This window comes from Homo sapiens, chromosome 1 (assembly GCF_000001405.40).
Source record: "Homo sapiens chromosome 1, GRCh38.p14 Primary Assembly".
NCBI lineage: Eukaryota > Metazoa > Chordata > Mammalia > Primates > Hominidae > Homo > Homo sapiens.
In genome coordinates this window covers 159,011,969-159,039,690 of record NC_000001.11, presented here as the reverse complement: position 1 = coordinate 159,039,690, position 27,722 = coordinate 159,011,969, and the positions used below count along the sequence as shown (strand labels likewise).

The window sequence follows — 27,722 nt, the reverse complement described above, 5'->3', positions numbered from 1 at the left end:
AGATTGAGTCTTTTCTGTCTTGTGGTTTTCGGAATGAGATAGAACCCGGCCAGGCACAGTGGCTCACACCTGTAATCCCAACACTTTGGGAGGCCGAGGCGGGAGGATTGCCTGAGGTGAGGAGTTCAAGACCAGTCTGGCCAACATGGTTAAACCCCGTCTCTACTAAAAATACAAAAATTGGCCTGGCATGGTGGTGCACACCTGTAGTCCCAGCTACTTGGGAGGCTGAGGCAGGATAATCACCTGAACCCGGGAGGCACAGGTTGCAGTGAGCTGAGATTATGCCACTGCACTCCATCCTGGGTGACAGCGAGACTCTATCTCAAACAAACAAACAAAAACCTAATGTATCCATGTCTGTATCTATATAGGTTTGGTTTTCTTATTTTTCCTTTTATTCTGTTCTCACTGTCATCTCTCTGGTATTTTCTATGGAAGAAGAGTGTCAATTTAGATATCCTAACTCCTTCAACTGTACACTCACAAACCAGTATTATAGCCTTCATCCTGTTGGTTGAAATTTTATTGGTGTGTGATTGAGTCCTGGCTCTATTTCTGCTGAAAATCCATCTAGGCCAACTTGGTTAAGCCCCTCCATTGAGGTTATTTTTGTTAAATAACCCTCTCAGTTTATAAGGGCAGCAAATTTTAGAACAACATTAACCAAAGTGATAGAAGCCATTCTCATCAAGCAAATACACAAACTGACTCCTGTAATTTGCACTTCAGGTTCCAGGAAACTCACGTGTTGGCTGTTTGGGCATACTGATCCTCCCTTTGCTGGAAGCATTCCCTGAAAGCACAGTTCCAGGGGCGGGATTCTGTTGGTCCTGTGGTGTGTGTGCATCAGATATTCAGAATCCTTCAGGATTCCCAACAGTAATTAGGATCATTCCAAATTGCACTAGGGCATTCCCAGCACCTGTCTTTTTATACCTTGTTAAAGAAAGGATAGAGGGTGTCTGGAAAATCATGTGTGACTTCCCCTAATGTCACTAATGAAAGACTTTAAGAACATTTAAGCTGCATGCAGTGGCTTGTGCATGTAACCCCAGCAACTCAGGAGGCTGAGGCAGGAGAATCACTTGAGGCCAAGAGTTCAAGATCAGCCTGGGCAATATAGCGAGACCTCATCTCTACAAAACATTTTAAAAAATTAGCCAGGCCTGGTAGCGTGCACCTTTAGTCCCATCTACTTGAGAGGCTGAGGCAGGAGGATCCCTTGAGCTCAGGTGTCTGAGGTTGCAGTGAGCTTTGATTGCGCCACTGCACTCCAGCCTAGGTGACAGAGTGAGACCCATCTCCAATATATAGAGACCCGTCTATAAAATATATTTCTCTGGTCTTTAAATAGATTGAAAAAAGGGCTATAAAACCTGCTTGTTATGGTTTCGAACACCCAACCCTATAGGCCCGTTATGCACCTTATTATGGCTTGTGGCATCTGGATTATGAAAACAAATGCAAAATTCAACACTACATATATGAATATTTATGGATATATGACAGAATTTTAATATATACTGTCCCATACTGGAAGAAACATATTTGCATGATTACCAAAGTTTTTTACTTGACTAAAACTAGATATGAATCCTTACTCTAACACTAATTATTTTTATTAGCCTGAATGGTATTTTTAACCTCTTTGTATCTCATGAATCTCATATGTGAAATGAGATGAAAATTTTATCTTTATGGAGATACAATGACGAATATATGGCATAATTTTGTAACAAACACAGTTTTTACAGACCAGCATCCAATAAATCCTCAATAAGCAGAACAATATTTTTATTGTTATTTTATGTTCTGTGCATTTTTTTTAATGTCTGCCCTATTTAAAGATATTTAATGCTTTATGTTGACCCAGTTGTAGGGAGCTCCTGATTGAGGGGGTATAGGAAGATTATCAAAAAAGCCTCTTTATTCCCTTCTACAATGTGGCAGCCTAATAGCATTGATAAAACTGTCTTGAGTAATTTTCTTTTCAAAATAAGTTGAAACAAATATTCTCATTATTTCAGCAGAATTTAGATGATCAGAATTTGGATTTCAGCAGATTGTAGATTTCGTTGAGTAATATTTTAATATAGTAGCTGATTGTTTTTCTCATAGTAAATAATCCCTGCTACCATACCCGATCATGATTCAGGCATTATATGATCTATGCTTTAGAGGAGTCGTGACTTAAAGTCATGCTTCTGTCTTCTTCAGGTTTTGAATCCAAAAGCACAATGAACGCATATCATATACAAAATCTTCGGGAGAAACCATGATGAGTAAGGACAAGGCTTTCCTGCTCAGCTGGTGAATCTTAGAGTGAGTGGTGAGACAACCTTTGGGCTGGTCACCAAAGCAGAAGTAATGCACTGTGTTATTAAGCATCGGCGGCCATGGAGACACGTGCCTCTTTCTAGAATCCCTGTCCTAGGGTCTTTAGGCACAGCATAATGATTCCTATGGCTGCAGAAATTGCTGTATCACATATTTAGGCAATTGGGAACTTTGAAACTGTCATTAACTTTCTTTCAAGTCATTATGCGTCAGAAAACTGACTGTCCTGGGATGTCCAATTTTGTCCTTGAAATAGCAGAGAAGATCAGAGCAGATAATGACTTCACTAGGCATAGCCTCTGTCTATCCACCTGAAGCAAGATGGCAAACAGTCATGATAGGTAGCTCTATACGACATATAAAACTCTTAGAAAGTATAGAATTTTGGAATTTACCAGTCAAACAGGACAATAACAACAACAAAACAACATGAAAAATTGAGAACTCTGTACATGGGAGGCCTGTCTTCAACTGGTACACATGGATGAGTGATTAGAAAACTGTGTGGTCACAGTGCAGTTGGCACCTAGATGAGACACTAACTTGGAAAATTGTCATCTAGTTTTTCTTTTGACTTACACTGAAGATACAGCATCTGATTATTGGGTGCAGATGAACACAGGGGTCTTAACGTGGCAATGTAAAACATAGGATGATACAGAGACTTACAGCACCTGATTTTTCATTAGGAGCCTTGCAGAGACTAGATTATGAAAACAAACCCAAACAAAAACAATGTCTAATTTTAAATATGTGTAAATATATGAGACAGTTCAACATCTATATTCTGACTTTGGAAGCAGTATATGATCATTAAATGCTCAAGCTTTAGAGTTCATTAAGGCTGGATTTGAATCTTGGCTCTAACACTAAAAATCATTATCAGCTTGAGTAAAGTTTTAACCTCTAAGATCCTTGGTGTTTAGAAATGTGAAATGTGACTGACAATAACATCATCTGGGTGATGTAAGGAAGAATGAATAAGAAAAACTACATAAAGTGCACATAATTTACATTTAGCACACTCACTGTCTTTGTGAATTTTGAGAAATATTTTAAAACTGTATTTATCTTGGTTGTCTCTTATGTAAAATGAGGCTGAGAATAGCATCAATCATGACTGTTATGAGGAAAGAATGCAACAATATACATAAAGAATACAGGTTTTAAAACCAGCACCTAGTAAGTGCTTACGAAGTAGAAATCCGATTTATGTCACTGTTGTTACACTGTCTCTGCAGGGATTTGTATGTGTGTTCTGATTAACTGCCGTCTCATATTCTGTTTACCTTGTTGACAGAAACCCTAGATCGAGTTGGTATGGGAAGCTTTTTATTAAAGAGACTTCTCTATTCATTTCTGCCACTTATTCACGAGAGTACCTTGGAGTATTATCTTCTCAAATTCATTTAAGTAAAACAGTCCCATAACCAGAGTAGAATTTAGATGAGAGAAATGTAATCTTTGGTTGAATAATATTTTAAATCACTATGTAATTTTTTTTCTTAGAGCAATTATCTCCCCTCCCATCCCTGCTCCTGATTCATGTCAATTTATGTTTCTTGCTTTAGGTGTACAGAACAGAAAAAAAAAAATCAATGATAAGAATAGCCTGTTTGTTTTAAATCTCAATGAATATAGAGCGTATACCATAGAGAAAATCTTTGGGAAACCCTATGATCAGTGGAACAAGACTATACTCACCTGCGAGTCACTAGGAAAGTAGTTAGACAGACAACTGTATTTACAGACGATAGTGGACACCCAAGAATAAATGGCTGCGTAGTGTGTTTAGGTGCATGAGGCCATGAAGGCATATAATCCTCCTGGGATTCCTGTGCTCCAGGGAAGTTCACATACAGCACAATCATTTGTACAGCTGTAGCAAGGGTTGTGATTCATATTTTAGCAGGTGGGACTTAGAAATTCTCACATAATCCTTTCAAAGAAATATGAGTGATAAAAGCATAGTTGTTTGGAGATGCCACTTTAGTCACTGAAAAGGCACAAAGAAAATGGATCTTAGGTTGCAATGACTGAGCAAGGGCTCCTTCCACAGCCACCTGTGCCAAGATGGCAAAAAGACACAGGTTCTGTTCTTCAAATAACACCTGCATAAACTATGGAGGGAAATACAGCTTTCTGAAGCTAGCTAAAAATTACAACAATGAAAACAAACCAAAAAAAAATCAAAATAGAGAATCCTTAAATATAGGAAGCTTCTCTTCCAGGATGTGTACATGGTGGCTGGAGGTATCTGCTGCTGGGTCAGAATACAGCTTGGGGCTTGGGTAAGAAGCAACTGTAAAAAATAATGATTTAATCCTTCTGCTTTTCCTCCAAGTTTCCTGCCCCTTCACCACAGGTACAGGCTTCCGAACCCTCAGTGCAGGTGACTACAAGGGTCATATCACTGCTGAGCAAAAGGTAATCTGGAATAAGAATTGATGCACATAGCATGAACTGACTTTTTCCCCTCTTGTATTCTGTTCCTCTGGGGTAGACGCTACCTACCATCTGAGCTTATGGTATATAAAAGGAGAAAATTACTCCCACACCCCAATTGTTTAAATGCTATTAGGAAAAATAAAGGGAGCTAGGAAAGCTCACAAAGGGAGGACCAGAGAGAACCAACTATGGGAGGATCTCACCTAATCTGAAACGTGGTTGCCAGTGAGGACTTGCTCTAGGAAGGGATTTAGGCTGGGGCCTGTGGAGAGTTGGGTTCAAGAAGAGACTGGAGAAAGTGATCCCAGCAAAGGAAGCAATCTATATGTCAAAGCTTCTCATTTGGAAAAGACCATCGATATTTTAAAATAAAACCTGGAATGTGGTCATGAACGAAGTGAAAGGATGAAAGGTAATTGGAATAAAGATAATGAACATATTCTTGTATTCATCTTCCTCCATCTGGCTACTTCCCCACAATCTCTCTCTACACCTGGATCAACAAAAGACAGTAATCCTCTTGAGTCAGGAAGCACTTCATGAACGCATACCTTGTAAATATCAAAAGACACAGAGACTAGTAGGGTCTCAATGAATATACTTAATTAATAGTGAGAAATTTAATCACATACATTTTACTTGATTAAATTACTCTTTCTCTTTCCTGCAGCTCTTCAGGCTCCAGGAAACCCAGCCTTATGTTGCTTTAGATGTTTTGATCATCACTTTGCTAGAAAGATTCTTTAAAATCCACAATTCCAGATGCAGAATTCTGCTGTTTTGTAGTCTGCATCAGCCAGCTAGAATCCTTCAAGGTTCTCAAATGTATTTAGAAATATTGAAGAACTTACCTTGGCATTACCAAGTAAGTGATTTTTTAAAAATACTCTTTACCAAGGGCAAGGAAGTATAACTTCCTTTATTTTGACTATTTTTAACCTTTTTTGTTATTTATTAATATTAGTTTAATTTCCATAGTTCTACCACTTCTGTCATTCAGATATTTAATATAGAAAATGCACTCTGTTAGAGAGGCGAATGAAAGGATTCTACTTCTGGAGGGTGGTTTACTTATTAGAACACACTCTGATCACCACTGGCCACATTTGTTATCAGAAGGTTTGCAAAGCGTGGGCTATGTAACTGTTACGTGACTAATAAATAAATTACTGACATGGCATATATAAACTCCTAATCTAAAGCCATATATAATCATTAATTTTTCACGTTTTAGGTTTAAATAAGACTGGATATGAATCATGACTCTAATTTTCTTTGAAAGCTTGAGGAAGATTTTTAACCTTTCTGTACCTCTATTTTCTTCTCTGTGAATTGGGGCAGAATTAGCATCCTCCTGATGGTTATGAAGAAAGAATGAGATAACGTACATCAGGAACAACACGTAAGAACCAACGTCTAGTTAAGTGCTCAAAAAGTGGAAATATAATTATTGTCATTGTTGTTCCATGTTCTAAGCTGAATTTGTAGGTTTGCTCTGGTCTACAGATATAACCTGAGCTATGCTGACCCTGTTAAGGAAAACCTCAGATCAAGGAAGTATGGGGAACACATTATAAAGTAAGTCTCTCTGTTCACTTCTATGAAATTAGTAATTTAATCTCATTGACAGGAGACCCTGTGAAAGCAAAGAATGGGAGGACTCATCAGTTCCAGTATCTTGTATCAGCGAGAACTTGCCAGAGGAAAACATTTAAGTTGGCATGTAAAATTTAAGGAGATTCTCACCAGTGATGACATAGGAGAAACAGATACCCATCAAGAAAACACCATGTGTCAAAATATGTAATGGGGGTAGGAACTTGGAACTATGAAAATAAAATCAGAAATATTACTAATAAGCAAAGGGGAAATGGGTAAAAGAAACGGGAATGTAGGATCTGAACGCATTCTTGTTTTCGTCTCTGCTTGTCTGGCCACTCTCTCTTACCCTCTCTACAACTGGAGCAATACAAGATAGTAATCCTCTTAAAGTTAGAAATCATTATATAAATGAATGCCTTTTAGATAGTAAAGATTATGATGTGGTGCTATCTCACTGTATGAATTCAATAAATGATTGAGTGACATAATTTCATACCAAGATTGTACCAATCCATTCACAGAGATTACAGCAGTAGCTCTTTCAACAGTCTAATGATCCCTGTAAATTATGGTGGGGAGACATGAGGCATGGGACCCAGGAAATTGTACCTTGGTGAAGAAACTGCTGGATGGAGTTGTTGGTGGCATCTGAGGAGTCCGAAGATGGCTCTCAGGGAAGGTTGTGCTGGCCTCTGAAGGATATGGAAGCTGACGCTGTTCCTGGGGTAGCTTCATGCTCTTGGGGTCATTGTTTCTCGGGTTTGTTTTTTTCTTTATCTGAAAGTATTCATTTTCTGTTTAATGGTTTTCAATATTAGAGGAAGCACAACATCTTTTCATTTGTGAGAATATCATCCTTTATTAGATTTTAATAGGTCTCATTACTTCCAAACATGGTCTCTCTCTAATGTATCCCTCCAGGCAATTGTCAGAATATTTTTTTTGCTAAAATGTGGAATGATCAAGTACTCTTCTTCCTAAAATCTTTCAATATCTACTTACTGATGTTTTTACATTGGAGACTCCATTTCTGTCTTTATGACAAAAGCCAGCTTGTTGGAGGGCTGCTTTTTACCTGTCTTGCATCATTTTCCTATACCTTTCTACATATACCAATTTATACAGAACTCACTATGCTGTTTCACATTTTAACATTTGCATGTGACATTTTCTCTCCCTAGAAATCTTTCCAGTGTTTGTCTTTATCTTGCTAAGAGCAATAGGACCTATTGCACATTGATTTCCCATAATGTACAAGGCAATGGAATAAGAAATATTTTTCCATTATCTCATTTAATTTTTAAACCAATCTTATGAGAAATATTTAAAAGCTATTTTTCCCAATATCAGGAAACTAATGTGCCAGATGTAGAACAAGTCTTTCCTATTCCAAAGTCCTTGCTTTTGGCCACTGCATTATATTGGTTCCCCACCCTCCTAATTTCTTCAAATATTTTATTATTTACCACGAGTTTTATATCCTTTTGAAGCCTATGAGGAACATCATTCTCCTAATATATCTTAATAGGCTTTTCCATTTAAATGTGAGTGGAATATTCAAAATGGCACGTTTGAAAAAAAGCGGACTGCTGCTGCAGGCTCCAGGAGACAGCAGAAAAACTGTGAGTGCCCAAAGTGTGAAAGTGTGAAAGGGGATCATCCACCCATGAACATACATCCTCACTGGGGAACCTGAAGGTCTGGATCACAAGTGAAGGATTTGACCTTACCTGGAGCTAAGGTGAATTTAGAGAGCTGAGCGAAATACAGGGGTAGAGGAAGCAGCGGGAAGAGCCCTATGGGCTCTCTCAGTCCCCAGGGAAGCCATTACTGACTTTGTCTCACAAAGGTCCTTCAGGAGGGCTGCCAGTAGAATTGGGGAAATACCACAGGGAGAAGAAAACTTCCAGCTGAAGTTTCGACCGAACACAAAATTTCCTGGACAGAACCCAGGGGTGGGGGTGATCTGGGAGTGCAGACACCAGCACAGAAGCCACAGCAGGCAGGGAGGCTTGAACTCTGAAAACCCTGCTTGCTTTCTCAGCAGGGAGGCTGGTAGCAAGTTCTCAGCTCTGCTCACTTGCTGCCTGGAAATAAACTCAGCGTTGTTGGTGGGTGATGGTGGGAGTGAGACTGGCCTTTCAGGCTGTGTGGGAACTGGATGAGGCCTGTAACTACCAGCTTTCCCCAACTTGCCTGGCAACTTGCATGACACAGCAGAGGCAGCCATAATTCCCTTGGGAATATACCTCCATTGGCCTGAGAATCACACCCCATCCCCCACAGCAGCATCAGCTTTCCCTGTCCAAGGGGAATCTGAGCTCAGACACACCTAACCCTGCCCCCACCTGATGGTCTTTCTCTACCTGCCCTGGTAGCCAGAAGACAAAGGACATAATCTCTTGGGAGCTCTGTGGCCCCCCCACCCACCACCTGAGAAACTCAAATCCTATTTCAAGTGACCCTAGGGCAAGCTTGTATCCTCCCTATACTATTGCAGCTGATGCTCTCTTAAAAGCTCCACCTCCTGGCTGGAGGACAACCAACACAAAATTATCCCAATAAACAAAATTAAAACCAAGGACCCTCATGGAGTTCACTTCACTGCCCTGCCACCTCCACAGGAGCAGGTACTGATATCCATGGATGAGACCTGAAGACGAACCACATCACAGGACTCTTTGCAGACACTACCCAGTACCAGCCTGGAGCCTGGAGCACAGTAGCTCTGCTGGGTGTTGACAATCACTGTAGTTCAGCTCTCAGGAAGCCCCATCCTTTGGAGAAGGGGGAGAGCACCACATCAAGGGAGCACCCTGTGGGACAAAAAAAATCCTAACAGCAGCCCTTGAGTCCCAGATGTTTCCTCTGATATAGTGTACCCAAATGAGAAGGAAGAAGAAAAACAATCCTGGTAATATGTCAAAACAAGGTTCTTTAACAGCCCCAAAAGATCACACTACCTTACCAGCAGTGGATCCAACCCAAGAAGAAATCTCTGAATTGCCAGAAAAGAATTCAGAAGGTGGATTATTAAACTACCCAAGGAGGCACCAGAGAAGGATGAATACCAACTTAAAGAAATTTAAAAAATGTTACAGGATATGGATGGAAAAATCTCCAAAAAAATAGAGAGCATAAAAAAAAATCACAACTTCTGGAAATGAAGAACACACTTGGAGAAATGCAAAACACACTGGAAAGTCTTAGCAATAGAATCAAACAAGTAGAAGAAAGAACTTCAGAGCTTGAAGACAAGGCTTGTGAATTAACTCAATCTGACAAAGATGAAGAAAAATGAATTAAAAATGAACAAAGCTGCCGGGCATGGTGGCTCATGCCTGTAATCCCAGCACTTTGGGAGGCTGAGGCAGGTGGATCGCCTGAGGTCAGGAGTATGAGACCAGCCTGGCCAACATAGTGAAACCCTGGCTCTACTAAAAATACAAAAAATTAGCTGGGCGTGGTGGCAGGCACCTGTAATCCCAGCTACTTGGGAGGCTAAGCCAGGAGAATTGCTTGAACCTGGGAGGTGGAGGTTGCAGTGTTCCGAGATCGCCCCATTGCACTCCAGCCTGGGCAACAAGAGCTAAAGTGTGTCTCAAAAAAAAAAAAAAAAAACTGAACAAAGCCTCCAAGAAGTTTGGGATTATGTTAAACAACCAAACCTAAGAATAACTGGTGTTCCCGAGGAAGAAGACAAATCTAAAGGTTTGAAAAACATATTTGAGGGATTAATTGAGGAAAACTTCCCTGGCTTTCCTAGAGATCTAGACATCCAAATACGAGAAGCTCAAAGAACACCCGGGGAACACCCTGGAGAAAGATCATCGCCTAGGCACATAGTCACCAGGCTCTCTAAAGTCAAGACGGAGAAAAGAATTTTAAGAGCTGTGAAGCAAAGTATCAGGTAATTTATAAAGGAACCTATCAGATTAAAAGCAGATTTCTCAACAGAAATCCTACAAGCTAGAAAGGTTTGGAGTACTATCTTTAGCCTCCTTAAACAAAACAATTATCAGCCGAGAATGTGTATCCAGTGAACTAAGCTTCATAAATGAAAGATCAAGTCTCTTTCAGACAAACAAATGCTGAGAGAGTTAGCCACTACCAAGCCAGCATTACAAGAACTGCTAAAAAGAGCTCTAAATCTTGAAATGAATCCTCGAAATACACCAAAATAGAACATAAAACATTTAAAGCATAAATCTCATAGGACTTATAAAACAATAACACAGTAATAAAAAAGTAAGGTATTTAGGCAGCAAATGGCATGATGAATAAAATAGGACCTCACATCTCAATACTAACATTGAATATAAATGGCCAAAATGCTCCACTTAAAGCATACAGAACAGCAAAATGAATAAGAATTCACCAACCAAGTGTTTACTGTCTTTAAGAGACTCACCTAACACATAAGGCCTCACATAAACATAAGGTTTCATATAAACATAAGGTAAAGGGGTAGAAAAAGATATACTATGCAAATGGACACCAAAAAACAAACTTTAAAGCAACAGCAGTTAAAAAAGACAAAAAGGGACATTACATAATGCTAAAAGAACTAGTCCAATAGGAAAATGTCACAATCCTAACACTGGAGCTCCCAAATTTATAAAACAATTACTACTGAACCTAAGAAATAAGACAGATGGCAACACAATAATACTGGTTGACTTCAATACTCCACTGAAAGCACTAGACAGTCCAACAAGACAGAAAGTCAACAAACAAAAATTTTTGGACTTAAACTATACCCTACAACAAATGGACTTAACAGATATTTACAGAACATTCTACCCAACAACTGCAGAATATACATTCTTTTCATCAGCACATGGAACATTCTCCAAGATAGGCCATATAATAGGCCACAAAACAAGTCTCAAAAATTTAAAAAAAAAATTGAAATTATATCAAGTACTCTCTCAGACTACAGTGGAATAAAATTGGAACTCAACTGTAAGCAACCTTAAAACCATGCAAATACATGGAAATTAAATAACCTGCTCCCGTATGATCATAGAGTCAATAATGAAATCAAAATGGAAACTAAAAAATTCTTTGAAATGAATGATAATAGAGAAACAACCTATAAAACCTCTGAGATACAACAAAGGTGATGCTAAGAAGAAAGTTCATAGCATTAAATGCCTACATCAAAAAGTCTGAAAGAGTACAAATAGATAATCTAGGGTCACATCTCAAGGAACCAGAGAAACAAGAACAAACCAAACACGAATGCAGCAGAAGAAAAGAAATAACAAAGATCAAAGCAGAACTAAATGAAATTGTGACAGACAAAGAACAACACAAAAGATAAATGAAACATAAAGCTGGTTCTTTGAAAAAATAAACAAAACTCATAGACCGTTAGTGAAATTATCAAAGAAAAGAAGAGAGAAGATCAAAATAAGTTCAATTAAAAACAAAATGATAAATATTACAACTGATATCACACAAATACAAAAGATCATTCAATGCAACTATGAACATCTTTATGTGCATAAAGTAGAAAACCTGAAAATATACAACCCTCCTGGGTTAAACCAGGAAGATATAGAAACTCTGAACAGAGTGATAATAAGCAGTGATATTGAAATGGTAATAAAAAATAATTTCCAATAAAGAAAAGCCCAGGACCAGATGGAATCACAGCTAAATTCTATCAGACATTCAAAGAATAATTGGTACCAGTCTTATTGACATTATTTCACAAGATAGAGAAAGAGAGAATCCTCCCTAAATCATTCTATGAAGCCAGTATCACCCTAATACCAAAAGCAGGAAAGGACATAACAACAACAACAAAAAAACTACAGACCAATATCCCTGATGAACATAGATGCAAAAATCTTCAACAAAATACTAGCTAACAGAATCCAACAGCATGTCAAGATAATGCACCATGATCAAGTCGGTTTCATACCAGGGACGCAGGGATGGTTTAACATACACAAGTCAATAAATGTGATATACCACACAAATATAATTAAAAACAAAAATCACCGGATCATCTAAGTAGACGCAAAAAAAAAGCATTTGACAAAATCCAGCATCACTTTATGATTAAAACCCTCAGCAATATTGGCATAGAAGTGATATACCTTAAGGTAATAAAAGCCGTCTATGACAAACCCACAGACAACATTATACTGGTCAGGGAAAAATTGAAAGCATTCCCCCTAAGCACTGGAACAAGACAAGGATGCCTACTCTCACCACTTCTATTCAACATAGTAATGGAAGTCCTAGCCAGGTAATCAGACAAAAGAAATAAAGGAAATCCAAATCGGCAAAGAGGAAGTCAAACTGTTGCTGTTTGCTGATGATATGATTGTATACCTAGAAAACCCTAAAGACTCATTCAAAAAGCTCCTAGAATTGGTAAATGAATTCAGCAAAGTTTCAAGCAAAGTTTCAGGATACAAAATTAAAGCATGAAAATCAGTAGCTCTGCTATACACGGCCAGCAACCAAGCTAAGAATGAAATCAAGAACTCAACCATTTTCACAATAGCTGCAAATAATAAAATAAATAAAATAAAACACTTAGGAATATATCTAACCAAGGAGGTGAAAGACCTCTAAAGGAAAACTAAAAACACTGCTGAAAGAAATCATAGACGACGCAAACAAATGGAAACACATCCTATGCTCGGGGATGGGTAGAATCAATATCGTGAAAATGACCATATTGGCCGGGCGCAGTGGCTCACACCTGTAATCTTAGCACTTTGGGAGGCCAAGCCAGGTGGATCACCTGAGGTCAGGAGTTTGAGACCAGCCTGGCCAGCACGGTGAAACCCCATCTCTACTAAAGATACAAAAATTAGCCAGGCGTGGTGGCAAGCACCTGTAATCCCAGCTACTCGAGAGGCTGAGGCAGGAGAATCGCTTGAACCCGGGAGACAGAGGTTGCAGTGAGCCAAGATCGCGCCATTGCACTCCAGGCCTGGGGGACAAGAGCGAGACTTCGTCTCAAAAAAAAAAAAAAAAGAAAGAAATAAAGAAAATGACCATACTGCCAAAAGCAATCTACAAATTCAATGCAATTCCCATCCAAATACCAACATCATTCTTCACAGAACTAGAAAAAAAAATCCTAAAATTCATATGGAACCAAAAAACAGACCACATAGCCAAAGCAAAACTAAGGAAAAAGAACAAAAGGAAGAAATCAGGAAGCATCATATTACCTGACTTCAAAGTATACTATAAGGCCATAGTCACCAAAATAGCATGGTTCTGGGTATAAAAATAGGCATATAGACCAATGGAACAGAATAGAGAACCCAAAAATAAACCCAAATACTTACAGCCAACTGATCTTTGACAAAGCAAACAAAAACACAAAGTGGGGAAAGGACATCCTATTCAACAAATGGTGCTGGGATAATTGGCAAGCTACAAGTAGAAGAATGAAACTGGATCCTCATCTCTCACCTTATACAAAAATCAACTCAAGATGGATCAAGAACTTAAATCTAAGACCAGAAACCATAAAGATTCTAGAAGATAATATCGGAAAAACCTTCTAGAGAGTGGCTTAGGCAGAGACTTCAGGACTAAGAACCCAAAAGCAAATGCAACAAAAACAAAGATGAATAGATGGAACTTAATTAAGCTAAAAAGCTTCTGCGTAGCAAGGGAAATAATCAGTAAACAGACAACCCACAGAGTGGGAGAAAATATTCACAAACTATGCATCTGACAAAGGACTAATATCCAGAATCTATGAGGAACTCAAGCAAATCATCAAGAAAAAAACAAATATAAAAAATTAAAATGAGTCTATAAAAGTTTTACTTTATGGTCAGACATTAAAATTGGATAAATAATGTCTACAATATTTTACTAAAATTAAATTTAACATTAATAGCACATTAATATAAAGGTAAAATTTAACTTATTTAGTATAAAATTATACAAAAAATAGTCAAATATAAAATGGTGTTTATTTTTTTTTAAGTCCCGAGGGTGGCCAGGTAAGTCACAATGCCCCTCATCCCCAAGGCCATAGCACGCGGGGGTGGTGAAGGCCACAAGAAGGCCAAGACTTCAAGAGGGGCCAGGGCCACAGCATCCCTTGGGCGGCGCTGAGCAGGAATGGAGCGGGAGGCGTCACCATGGGGCTTCAAGCCCCAGGATATGCAACAAAAATTATATGCTTATTTTCCACTTTCTTTTCCCTCAGAACTAAAAGTCTTTTAGCACAGGTACCACCCCTAGAATTTCCAGTACACCAGCACCAGCCTGAAAACCATGTTCTTATTAAAAGATGAAAAAAGATTAAAAAAAAAAACTCGAGCCTGGGAAGGACCCTATTTTATGTATTAACCACTGAGACCGCCGTCCGCACAGCTGAGAAAGAATGGACCCATCATATTTGAGTCAAGAAAACATCTTCTTCGTTAGAATTATGGGTTACTGTACTAAGATTAAGCCCTTCTAAGTTAAAGAAAGCTTCATTTTAATACATCTTTTATATATTTTTTTCTTTTGTTATTAGCTCCTTTGTTATAAATATAACTAAGTCTAACTCACCTTAGACCATTGTCTTTAATGCTTGTTTTCTCATACTTTGTGGAAATAAAAAAAGATTAACGACAGCTAGCCTTTTCACACAAATATTTATGTCCCGGCCCTCTAATTGACACAATTACCCGTAGCACTCATCATTGTGAGCACCTGCAGCCAAGGCATCGATTTTCTGCTCCTACAGCCTGGCAACCTTGTAGTAAATGGGACTACATCCTTTAAACTACTCAAGAGCAAAGTTAGACTTCCACAAAAAAGGTTTGTGCAGATCTAAAACCCTTCATCTATTTCACCAAAAGGGCTACCCCTTCTAACTGTCAGCCCTTATCAATGTAACTCTGTCCTTCTCTTTATCACCACCTCCACCTTAACTAACTCTAGACCTGCCCTTGGTCGCTTAGATGGCATGGGGATTGACATAAATGAAAAAGACCCCCTAGGTGTTTTTAAAACACGCATTATTCCCCCATCTTCCCCTTCTTCAGTAGCCTCGGTTCTAGATCCCACACCAGTTGCCCCTACATCTAATAATAAAACTAGGTTGTCTATTGTAAAAATAAGACATCTAAGACAGACCTTAGCCATTAAGACAAAATATCAAGATGCAAATGCCTGGCTGGAATGAATTAAATATTCCCTTCGCACTTTAAATAAAAATTATTATCACGCTTGTACGCATGGTAGCCCAGAGGGCCAGATTATCCCCTTTCCACTCGGACGGTCTCCTCATTGACCAGAAATGGACATATGGTGGCTCTCTTGCAAAATCCCACAGTTTAGGATAATCCATCATGCTGAGCTCTCTATCTGTTATTTCCTGAAACTCAATACCCCGGGGGTCCGCCCCCGAGGGCAAGCCTGCTTCCACCTCTGAATGCCAAGTTTACTTTGTGCCTCTCACGGCAAGAGTAAAATTTGGTGTTCCTTAGAAGCATAAAAGGATGCAAGGAGCTCAAGCCTTTCCAAGAGCTTGCCCATCAGTCCACGCTTAGCCATCCCCAAGCAAATGTATGGTGATATTGTAGAGGACTTTTACTAGACACTCTGCCAAATAATTGGAGCAGTACTTATGCTCTAATCCAACTGGCTATCCCCTGCACCCTGGCATTTCACCAACCTAAAAAAAAAAAGGTAAAAACAAGACACTGCAGGCCAAAGGAAACTCCTCATGAGTCCTTTAAACGTTAGGTTTACATAAATGCTATTAAGGTCCTATGAGAAGTGCCAAATAAGTTTAAAGCACAAAATCAAATAGCTGCAGAGTTTAAATCCATGTTGCTCTGTTAAGTAACTATAAATTTTTTTTAAGTAGACTAAATAAACTATATCTACTATAATCAGCAACGATTCATAAATTACACTGAGGACGCCATCAAAGAGAAAGCTAAGCAATTAGGACCTACCAGCCAGATGGTCTAGAAAAATAAAATAGCTTTAAATATAATATTAGCAAAAAAAGAAGTTTGTGTCATAATTAAAACTCAATGTTATACCTTTATTCCTAATACTGCCCCTGATAGAACTATAACAAAAGTGCTACAAGGATTAACAGCCCTATCCGATAAACTTGCCAACAATTCTAAAATAAATAACTCTTTTTCTAAAATAATAAAACATTGGTTCAGCGGATAAAAAAAAAATTTAACTTCAATTCTCACCTCGTTTGCTCTTGTTATTGGTGTACTTATTCTTGTAGGCTGTTATATTATTCCCTGCCTTTGAAATTTTATACAAAAACTTATCTCTGCCACTCTTGCAGAGTTAACTCCTAATTCTCCTCCACCCTATTCTGAAAAATTACTTCTCTTAAAAGGACAAAAAAAAATTAAGTCAAAACATATTAAACAAGTTTAAAGAAGAATTATGAAATGAGGGGAAATTGTAAAAAGTAGAGGTTCCTCTTCAAAAACTTTCCTCCCCATCTAATTAGAAATAAATAGTAACTTCTCTTAAAAGCAAAATTTATTCAAAGACCTGTACAAACATTCTTAAATATCTGCTAGCCATAATAAAAAATCAATATACTTTATGTTCTTAGCTCCCACAATTTAGCCTAAATATTTGCCCTAACATGCTTATACTGATCCAAGCAAGCATTAGGTCATAGCCTGTTCCTCTTCCTTATTTAAAGGTGTTTTTACCTTTCTCAATATTCCACAAGTTACTTCCTCCTTCCTTTGTTCTCCTATGCCTTTGCCTCTTTTAAAAAGTTCTAAGTGCTAGCCAGTCGGGACAAATACAGAAGGTGAGGTCCCGTCCCAGCCAATGGAAACCGAACGCAGCAGGAGGGTGGCCGCGTCAGATTATAAATGAGCCTGTCTCCTTTGTTCCGTATACTCTTGTGGCAAAACTGCTGGCGAGTGTACCCTTTCTACAAAAAGTATAAAAATGGCCTTGCTGAAAAAATTAAATTGATATTCAAATGCTATTTATTTATGGCACCAGGGAACAAGCATTGCACATACAAATAATCCCATCAAAAAGTGGGCTAAGGGCCGGGCACGGTGGCTCACGCCTGTAATCCCAGCACTTTGGGAGGCCGAGGCGGGCGGATCACGAGGTCAGGAAATCGAGACCAACCTGGCTAACACGGTGAAACCCCGTCTCTACTAAAAATACAAAAAATTTAGCCGGGGGCGGTGGCGGGCGCCTGTAGTCCCAGCTACTCTGGAGGCTGAGGCAGGAGAATGGCGTGAACCCGGGAGGCGGAGCTTGCAGTAAGCCGAGATAGCGCCACTGCACTCCCGCCTGGGCAAAAGAGCAAGACTCTGTCTCAAAAAAAAAAAAAAAAAAAAAAAAAAAAAAAAAAAAAAAAAAGGGCTAAGGGCTAAGGACATGAATAGACAATTCTCAAAAGAAGATATGTAAATGGCCAACAAGCATAAGGAAAAACGCTCAACATCACTAATGATCAGGGAAATGCAAATCAAAACCACAAAATGATGCCACATTACTCGTGCAAGAATGGCCATAATCAAAAAATTTTAAAAAACAGACGCTGGCATCGATGTGGTGAAAAGGAACACTTCTACACCGCTGGTGGGAATGTAAACTAGTAGAACTACTATAGTAAACAGTGTATAGATTCCTTAAAGAACTAAAAAGCAGATCTACCATTTGATCCAGCAATCCCACTACTGGGTATCTACCCAGAGGAAAAGAAGTCAGTATACAAAAAAAGATCATTGCACATGCATGTTTACAGCAGCACAATTCACAACTGCAAAAATATGGAACCAGCCCAGATGCCCATCAGTAAACAAATGGATAAAGAAATGGGGTATGTATACACCGTGGAATACTATTACTCATCCATAAAAAGGAACAAAATAACGGCATTCACAGCAACCCGGATGGAATTGGAGACCATTATTCTAAGTGAAGTAACTCAGGAGAGGAAAACCAAACATTGTATGTTCTCACTCATAAGTGGGAGGTAAGCTATGAGGACACAAAGGCATAAGAATGATACAATGGACTTTGGGGACTCAGGGGAAAGAGTGGGAGGGGGGTGAGGGATAAAATGCTACATACACACTGGGTACAGTGTACGCTGCTTGGACGATGGGTGCATCAAAAAGTCAGAAATCACCACTAAAGAACTTATTCCTATAACGAAGCACCACCTGTTTCCCAAAAACCTACTGAAATAAAAAATAATTTACAACATTCAAAATGGCAACAGCGTAAAATCATGTACTGTAAGGAAACTTAACACGTGAATATTTGAATTCAAATTAACAAATTGGAGAGCTTCCTCTGTATAAAACTTTGTCAGTGGGACATAATTTTGATCACTGCAAATAATTTTAAGTTTCAAATTAGGTATTTTTATGGACTAAATACACACATATGTGTATTGTAATGTTACAAACTAGAAAGTATCACACACACACACACACACACACACGACGTTTTCTAATTCACAAATGGAGAACATGTAATTTTAAATCCCAACCCTACAATCACTTAAAAGTTTACATAAAATTCAGAGTTCAATTTTTTTGATAAAGTTCAGATTTCTTTCTTTTTAAAATTGTATCCTATCACATCATTCCATCCAGAAAAAAAAAATTAAAAAAAGTAAATGTGAATACAAGGAGAATATCTGTTTTCTCATGCCTCCCGCTGAACTCTGTAAAAAAAACCTACAAACTTGTTTTTGCCAAAACTTAAAGCAAATCATTTCCACTTTGGAAAACTAATATTTGCCTATTTAATTCTTACCTGGATAAAACTATGCATTTCTGAAATCAGTTTTGACATCTGGTTCTTTTTTCTAAGTCGAAAGCAGAAAAGTTGGAGCTTATCTCCTTCTTCACAGGGGATATTGTGACATTGTCCTGTCCCCACTACATCCATTTTTCCTCTATCATCCTGAATTTCGTAGATTGTGGTCTTCTGATTTACTGTTTTCTGTAACAGAAAATTAATATTCTGTTCCTGAGAATGTAATTAATAACAACCACATATAGGCTGAAGTCCCTTCTAAGAGAGTTAAACAAGATGCACAACAGCAACTCCTAGTACAGATATGCACATATCTTAGGCCACATCTTTGCAGAAAGCCGTCCCTCAATATCCTTTTTGTTTAAGTCTTTCATATCTGAGATATTTCTATGACAGTTCTAGAACAATGAGTTTTCTTCCAAATTTCTACTGCTTTCACCTACAGGGCAGCTTTGCTTCCCAAAGCACCTTGATACAGAGGAAGCTGAAATCTCTGATAGCCTTTCTGGGTCTCTGGCCCCATGCAAAAAGAATGGATATCTGCTACAACTATTTATTCAGTGACTTATGAGGAATCTGTAAGAAAAAGCAAGCTTCTGGTAACTCTCTAATTACTTTTTCTACTTTCTGCATTTACTGAGTCTCTTCCAATATTTGTACCCCCTCCTGAAACCAAGTCCTTGAGCTCAAACATTCCAGCTTTTTGCTCATTACTCATCATCCTAGAACTGGATTTGTAAGAATCATCTCTTTAAGAGTGTGTATATAGGCCATGCGCAATGGCTCATGCCTGTAATCCCAGCACTTTGGGAGGCCGAGGTGGGCAGATCACGAGGTCAGGAGACCAAGACCATCCTGGCTAACATAGTGAAACCCCGTCTCTACTAAAAATACAAAAAATTTAGCCAGGCGTGATGGCACACGCCTGTAGTCCCAGCTACTTGGGAAGCTGAGGCAGGAGAATCGCCTGAACCCAGGAGGCGAAGGTTGCAGTGAGCCGAGATCGCGCCACTGCGCTCCAACCTGGGCGACAGAGACTCCGTCTCAAAAAAAAAAAAAAGACTGTGTACAGAAAGTAACGCAGGTTAATGAGTTGTTCTAGGAAACAAATATAATGGGTAATGAAGTATTGATCAGATAAATTGCTTGAATCAATAGCAGAGGATAGATGCTTTTTTGCGGGGTGGAATGTCTCATGCTAACTGGTTATGAATTTGGACAGGAACATATCAGGAAAAGCACTCTGTACTCTATTTTTTTTTTTTGTTATTTATATATAAATGACAAATTTAGATTACCTGATTTTCCAAGTATCATCCAAATTCGTATTTCCCAATTGTTCCATTTCTTTATGATGAATTAGTTTCATTTGGTCAGAACATTGTCCTACCTACTTTCTGCATTTGTTTTCCAGCCATGAGTAGTCAATTTATTTCTTATTCTGACTGTCACAACCAGAACTCAAGCCTCAGAGGACAATACTTCATTCAAAATAAAAATAATGTGATTTTTATGACAGTAGAGATAATAATCAAAGGGATAAACTTAGTATCATGTGTGTATGGATGTAGACCTCACAATGTCCTTGATCACTTAGCATAGATAATAACAACTGATAAAGTCTTAAGGTTTCTCAGTGAACATTATTGTAAAGACTACAGTTTAATGCTCTGGGAAGGAGAACATGGGAAAGAAATATTAACAGGTCCCCTAATCCCAGTCTTATCTTCAGAGAAGTCTTTATCCACCTGTCATTAGTCTTCAGAGTCCTGGATTCTAATATCCAGTTTATAGGCAAAGCTTCATCTCACACATCAAGACTTTTAATTTCAGGTGTTGGTGGAAAAATGAAACGAAACAATTTTGAGGACTTACCTTATGTAGCATAAATACCCCATATACAATATTTCCTGAAGCTTGTTTGTGAAGAATATCAATCTTCAGAGTTTCCTTTGCTCTGTTGATGATTTTATTTGGAACCTCAAACGTTTGGTTAGGACCAGCTTCAGATACAGTAGATTCTTCATTGACCTCTAGGAGACTATCATATTCCAAATAATCTGATATGATGATGATTTTCTTTCCATTGAATTTCTCCTTCAAGCTGGTGTTTAAAACCTTCACATGGAAGAACTGTGTCTGTGTAGCCACTGTAGCATGAAACATTATTTTTTTCTCCATTTCTGGGGTCTCATATTCAAATGGCTTTGTTGTACTCAGTACCTTCACTATCACTGGGCGTTTTTGGAGAACATTTCTTCTGGGAGTTACCTGACATTTGGCCACTGTTTTCGGGTTCTGTGTATGATAGCACAGGAGAACAAAGAAAAATGTCTAATTGAGAAATACAGAACTGCTATTCAGTGACCTCAGTATAACACAGGGCCCCAAAACTTGCACAGATGTTTAGAGCTGGAGTCAGGATAGAGAGGGATTGCGAGCCAGGGCAGAAGATATCTTAAACTGGTACAATAGCAAGATGAAGTAACAGAGGAGACCATATAGTGAAAAGATGACCTTTCTGTAAACAGAATCAACCTTAAGAAATAAAGCATAAGAGCAACATAAGACCAGTGGATACTGAAAGCCAGTGTCATGAAGTAACTTAATAAATTTTAGGGCCAGGCGCGGTGGCTCACACCTGTAATCTCAGCACTTTGAAACGCCGAGGCGGGTGGATCACCTGAGATCAGGAGTTTGAGACCAGCCTGGCCAACATGGTGAAACCCTGGCACTACTAAAAGTACAAAAATCAGCTGAGTGTAGTGGCAGGCGCTTGTAATCCCAGCTACCTGGGAGGCTGAGGCAGGAGAATCACTTGAACCCGGGAGGTGGAGGCTGCAGTGAGCCGAGATTATGCCACGGCACTTCAGCCTGGGTGACAGAGCGAGACTCTGTCTCAACAACAACAACAACAACAATAAATAAATAAATAAATTTTAGAATGAAATAATTTCTTATACTATTTCTCTTACCAGCTTAAAGTGCCAGAGCCTAAAAATAGACAAAGTTAAATGACATTTAAAATGATCAATAAATACTAAAAAAAAATAAAAATAAAAAAAAAATGAAAAATGGTGCCCACCACAAACTATAGACACAAAGAGTGTTCAGTTATCACCAGTGTAGACAGGGCAATTTAAAGAGCACATTTCATAGTGTTCCTACCCAAGATTCAGTTTGCTTACAGCAGGTGAGAACACAAGTAGGATAAACCCCTCAGAATGCCATCATCTCAGTAGGTTCAGGCTGCAGAAACTCTACAGAGTGTCATTCCCACCACCATAGCCTTTCTCAGTGTCAGGGCTCTAGCAGGTAGCATGCTAACAGAAACCTGGGGCTCAGAAAGGGTTTTCTTTAACATCTTTACTCTTTAACATCCCAGTCTCCTTAAACTGCGATAGAACAGTTTTAATGCAGGGGAGGTTGTTTAATCTACAAGAAAAAGAGCTGAGGGTATGGATAACCTCATTCACAAACTAGCAGGTGCTGGAGAGGTCTGACATGGAATACTATAGTGAACCAAGGGAAGAGGTATGAAGGACATGGGAGCAGTAGACAGTGAGCCCACAGCTGACAGTTCTGTACTGCATAGCTCTCTCTCCCTTCCCCAAACAACACAGAACAGAAAACTTCCTGCAGTCAGAGATAATGTCAAGTTCATCAAGTATCCCTGTGAAAGCAAAAGATCAAAATGTAGTGGTTTCTCAATATGTACATTGGATTAACTAGCAAATTATCGATGCAATTTTTAAGTAACCGGTGAAATCAGTCCTTTACTTTGGGTTGAAAAAAACAAAGCAAAATGGGACCAGGAAGAGTGTACCTCAGTTGAAGAACTGTTGGGTGGAGCTGACAATGAGGTCTTGGGAGATGGGGAACGGCCCATGGCTGTGGACATGCCGGCTCCTGCAGGAGAGGGAGGCTGAGTCTGTTCCTCGGACACCTTACTCCCTTTGGGTCCAGCCTTTTCTTTGGTTGATTTTTTTCTTTTCTGAAAGTGGTTTGATTTTCCTGTTATTCGTTTTCAGTGCCAAATGAAGTAGAGCACATTTTCATTATTGGATAGTAGTTTTATTATTCCTAAGAAGATGTTTCTTGGAAACTTGAGAGGTTGCTGCCCATCTCTCGCCAGTTTAAGAGATGGGCATAGATGGTTTCATTAAACGAAGAAAGAGGAGAATGTTATACACATTATTTCTCTAATTATTTCTGTTATGGGATGTGCTGACTTGGGATTAGAGAAACTAGGTTTTTATACACATGGACAAAGTACTTACCTGATTCTCACGTTGACACTCCACTCTACTAGAATGAAGGTATCACATTTATGTTATATATATTTACATTATGTTTACTCATGTGTTTGGTGCATTGCTTTGAGCATCAATAAGATGATCAATTATCATACAATTTGGTAAATCTGAAACTTGATGGGAAACATGAAGAAATAACTGCCTGCTGGAGAGATTGAGTGGAAGAGCCGTAGCAGAGCTTCCTCTGTGGGACTTGAAGCCTGCTCCTCTTCCTGAAGCTTACCTGAGCTCCAGGAGTTGCCTCTGCTCCTTCAGTTTTGACAGTGCTGCTTGTGGAGGGTGCAGGTGAAGTAGCATCCACTTCCTTCTTCCTCTTTCTTGATAGGGCTGGTCCTTTTACTGGAATAGATTCAATTTTATTCCCAACCAATGCAGAAAAAAGGAAGACATATAAACGATCTCCGACAGCTGAAGCAGTTTCAATACAATTTGCTCTCAGTTCCTGCTTGAGGGTTCAGCTGTGCTTTAGTCTAGCTCTACTGCATTAGCCCAGCCTGGCCTTAAGGAGACCAGCAGTCACAAGACAGGAACAAGCACTGACTCATGCTCCTCAGCACTTTCCTCACTCCTCCCCTGTGCACTGAGCACATGCTTCCTGTTCTCTGAACTCCATGTGCTTCAGTTAACCCTTTCCCAATGCGGTTCTCCGATCATTTTGTTTTAAAAACTAATGTTTTCATGATGGAGACTGCTAGGTCACATTCCCCAGGTAAAGATATTCAAATTATAGAAACCAGCCAAAGGTTTCCATGAGGAAGGATATACTGATTTTGGACTTAGACTTTTTCAAATCCTTTTTTTTAACTTGATATAACAAGAGAGGAGATCACACTTCTGAGAGGCAGGCTCACATGTAAGTATTGCATTTTTTTAAATTATAAAGGGTAGTGATGGGTTAAATGGTCTCAATAGAACAGATACATTCATTGGCTAAATGTACATATCTTGAATTTAAACAGTTTTTATGATTTTATTATTATATAATCTTTCTAATGTACTGGAAGTCTCAGTCCCCCTTCAACTCCCTCTCACTTTTGTTCTTTCACTGATCCCAAATATACATTCTGAAATACTTCAATCTACACCAGTAATGGAATGCACTAAGTTGTCAACTTGTTGGCCTCTGAAGTACCAACATTGTCTCAGCTGTTGAGTCACAAACTGGGGAAAACACATCTCAAGTATGTCCGAGGTGGGGCTCTAATCAATGTTGGGGAGGGTTTGGGGATGGTTGCAGGGAGTGGGTGTTCCCTCTTCCCAATTACCTTTTAACTTTTCTTTTTTAAGAGTTTCAGCCAGGTCTTCAAGCGTTGGTATATCTTCGAAAATTTTTATTAGTTTGCCCAAACCAGCATCACCTCGGAACTTTTCTTCCATCAAGTCAGCAATCTGAATTTTGTCATACTCTTCTCTCATTTTTAAATTAAGTTTTAAATCGTTGCTCAGTAAGGACTTAACCATTCTAAAATGATAATCATTGATGACCTCTAATCCTTTTAGTAGAACAATGTTCTTGTATTTTTTTCCCATCTTTACAGACATAAGTGAGCCTACAAGAGAAAATGGTATATACAGTGTTACACATGTATACAGACAATTTAAAAGATGTATGCCTATGTGAGTGAGTGGCCCATATGAAAGAGTTGTTCATGAATATGTGTGATAAAGAAGGACTCAACGACCAAATGTGTTACTGTAGAAATTGAGTGAAGAACTGCTGGGTTAGGAATGTCTAAGAAATTATTCCCATTGAATGAGAATAGTTGAGTTGGGTCCAGTTGTTAGAGGGAGGTCTGAGAACAAGCAATTGCCTCAGTGTTAAGAGTATGAGCTCTGCAGTGTCAAAGCCCTTGGTTCCTCTTCTTATCCTTTACTGGGGCTGAAGCCTATTCCCCAAATCCTGCCTGTTGTTTCTTAAATCTTCCCACACCCAGTATGACTGGAGCGGCCTAGGTGTAAATGGGCTGCAGCCTCCCACCTTATATGAATAACTTTCTGCTACAGCGCTACAGTTTCATGCTGTGGCACTGACCCTATTCTCCTTGACTCTTCCCTAGTTGGCTTTCATTAGCATCCTCCCTTCTTTGGTGCTAGACCATGGCTTCTGTTCTCTGTACCCATAAAACCATAACTTTGCTGAAAATCTGCATGCTTTCTAGTGCAGCATCACAGTATTTATTCACTGAAATGATTTTATTGGTTGTTTTATTTTTCTTCTTTCAGACTTGATTTGTCTAATTATTTCTTTTCGCACAATCAGTTTTCTCTCGATAAGCCACATTTATATTCCACTGAAATCCTTCAATATTTCTCCTTTTTCTTCCCCAAAATTCCTTGCTTCCTATACTGTCTCAGAAAGTGTTGAATAAGCTGCATCTTTTTTACTTCTAGTACCTTTGTACTCCTTGTATCTATGCTTCACAAAGATGCCGGACACCTTGTGTCTTCATGCCTCATGACTTTGCTAGTTCCTTCTTACTGCCTGGAAAGCCATTCCCACATTTCTTTCTTTGACTACTTCCCATACAACCTTAAGACTCAACTGAGGCTTTGTCTCATGGTAGATTTCAGAGTCTCCCTATGGACAGAGTGTCACTGCTCTTGACCTCTTAACACCTGTACACTTCCATGATGACAGTGCAAGGTATGGATTCCAAAACTTTTAAATTAATGAATTTTTTAATTTTAGGAATGATGTCTTTGTGTATAACCAAGATATCTAAATTTCAGGGGCTATTAATTGGGCCAGGCGCAGTGGCTCACGCCTGTAATTCCAGCATGTTGGGAGGCCGAGGTGGTCGAATCACAAGTTCCGGAGATCAAAAGCATCCTGGCTAACACAGTGAGACCTCGTTTCCACTAAAAATACCAAAAATTAGCCAGGTGTGGTGGCAAGCGCTTGCAGTCCCAGCTACTCGGGAGGCTGAGGCAGGAGAATTGCTTGAACCCAGGAGACGGAGGTTGCAGTGAGCGGAGATCGTGCCACTACACTCCAGCCTGGGTGACAGAGTGAGACTCCGTCAAAAAAAAAAAAAAAAAAAAAAAAAAGCTTCCTTCTTACGAGAACATGAGGATCCTTGGACTGAAAAGGTCCAGAGAATGAAGGGAAAATCTATACAAAAACACATTATAGTGAAACTGAAGAATATAATGAACAAAAATACTCTGTAAGCCTTCGGTAATGAGGAATAGATCACCTACAAAGATTCAAGAATCAAATTGAAAGTGAATCTCTATATCAAAACTGCCTGAAGCAGGACAATGGAGTTATTTTTATATAATGTTGGTCCAAAGTTCCATATCAATTGCAAAACCAAAAAAAATTTTCAATGGAAAGTTTTGACTTATTTTGTGAGTGTGCTAGAAACAATAAGTTCGTCTTCAAACTTTCCTGTTCTTTCCTGTTCTGTAAACAACCCTTCCTTCCTTTGCCGCCCCAGACATGCCTTCCCGCCTAATTGGTACAGGACAGTGTCTTCCTTCCCGCCTAATTACCCCTATAGAATTTAAAGCAGTAGCCAATCCGGTCAGCTTAGAATGTGCATTGTGACTGACGCAGGCAGCACCCTTCTGTAGAAGCAAATATGCTTTGCTGAGAAATTTCCTGTTTAAGTGCTGGTTTTTCTTTGTGGCACTGAGCACTTGTTTCCAACAAGTGTGACAGCACAATTTATTTGCAAAATAAAACCAGATTTGGGATGACAGTAGGCTATGTATAATCTTTATTTCACTGAAATGTGAACACTCACATGTTTTGTTTTGCAATATTAGTGCTTTTGATTTTGGAGTAATTATTTATATCCCAATGGAGTTTCTAGTAAGACACTATTTAGAATATATACACTAAATAGCCTTTCTGAAGCCTCCAGATTCTTAACTTCAAAATGTATCTAGCTCCACAGCACAGAAGAGGTGCTTTCATCTTGTCTTAAGGGAAAATATAATTTTACATTTTAGAGTTTTAATTTAGGCAAAATGATATTTAAATAGAAGAGTCTCAAAAACTATTTTGTGATACTCAGGGCCTCAGTCTTTTTGCAAGACAAAGACTCATACCACAAGAAAACATCTATTGAAAATAATATTTAATAGGAAAACATGAATAAAATTAAAAATTCTGCCAGCCAAAAGATAAGAAGAGTGAAAAATAAACTTTTTTAGGTGTTCCTAATGTCTTACAAAGAAAACCCTGATCAAATATAAGAGAAACAGAAATTACAACAGCATGGTAAAGGGAGGGAA

At 38.8% G+C, this 27,722-nt stretch overlaps 1 protein-coding gene and 1 long non-coding RNA gene across 14 annotated transcripts in view, besides 2 other annotated features; one reads left to right on the top strand and one right to left on the bottom strand.

Moving 5' to 3' along the window:
• Nucleotides 1-27,722, bottom strand: part of IFI16 (interferon gamma inducible protein 16) — a 55,176-nt gene that overhangs the window by 15,461 nt on the left and 11,993 nt on the right. For 12 of the 13 annotated variants that reach the window (XR_007059344.1, NM_001364867.2, NM_001376588.1 and 9 more), the window contains 6 exons: nucleotides 24,746-25,030; nucleotides 23,704-23,819; nucleotides 22,991-23,158; nucleotides 21,040-21,462; nucleotides 19,162-19,350; nucleotides 7,000-7,167 (listed from right to left, as the gene is read on the bottom strand). Coding sequence is in view for 12 of the 13 variants with exons in the window: in XM_047419411.1 (XP_047275367.1) it covers nucleotides 7,000-7,167; nucleotides 19,162-19,350; nucleotides 21,040-21,462; nucleotides 22,991-23,158; nucleotides 23,704-23,819; nucleotides 24,746-25,022 (1,341 nt within the window). In the remaining variant the exon portion in view is untranslated. The remainder of the gene's footprint in view (nucleotides 1-6,999; nucleotides 7,168-19,161; nucleotides 19,351-21,039; nucleotides 21,463-22,990; nucleotides 23,159-23,703; nucleotides 23,820-24,745; nucleotides 25,031-27,722) is intronic. The other variant, NM_001206567.2, reaches the window with a different exon arrangement.
• Nucleotides 23,475-24,674: an enhancer, noted in NCBI's record as "CDK7 strongly-dependent group 2 enhancer chr1:158984807-158986006 (GRCh37/hg19 assembly coordinates)". NCBI's record gives its function as "activates an origin of replication core promoter dependent on BRD2, BRD4, P300/CBP, MED14 and CDK7 cofactors, with strong dependence on CDK7, by STARR-seq in HCT116 cells {active_cell/tissue: HCT116}" and the evidence as "EXISTENCE:reporter gene assay evidence [ECO:0000049][PMID:35650434]".
• LOC124904432 (uncharacterized) lies at nucleotides 25,641-27,184 on the top strand. The gene is made up of 2 exons (XR_007066671.1): nucleotides 25,641-26,124; nucleotides 26,211-27,184. It is a non-coding gene; the product is annotated as an uncharacterized LOC124904432 (long non-coding RNA).
• Nucleotides 26,966-27,075: a silencer, noted in NCBI's record as "silent region_1452". NCBI's record gives its function as "represses an Ori minimal core promoter by ATAC-STARR-seq in GM12878 lymphoblastoid cells {active_cell/tissue: GM12878}" and the evidence as "EXISTENCE:reporter gene assay evidence [ECO:0000049][PMID:35858748]".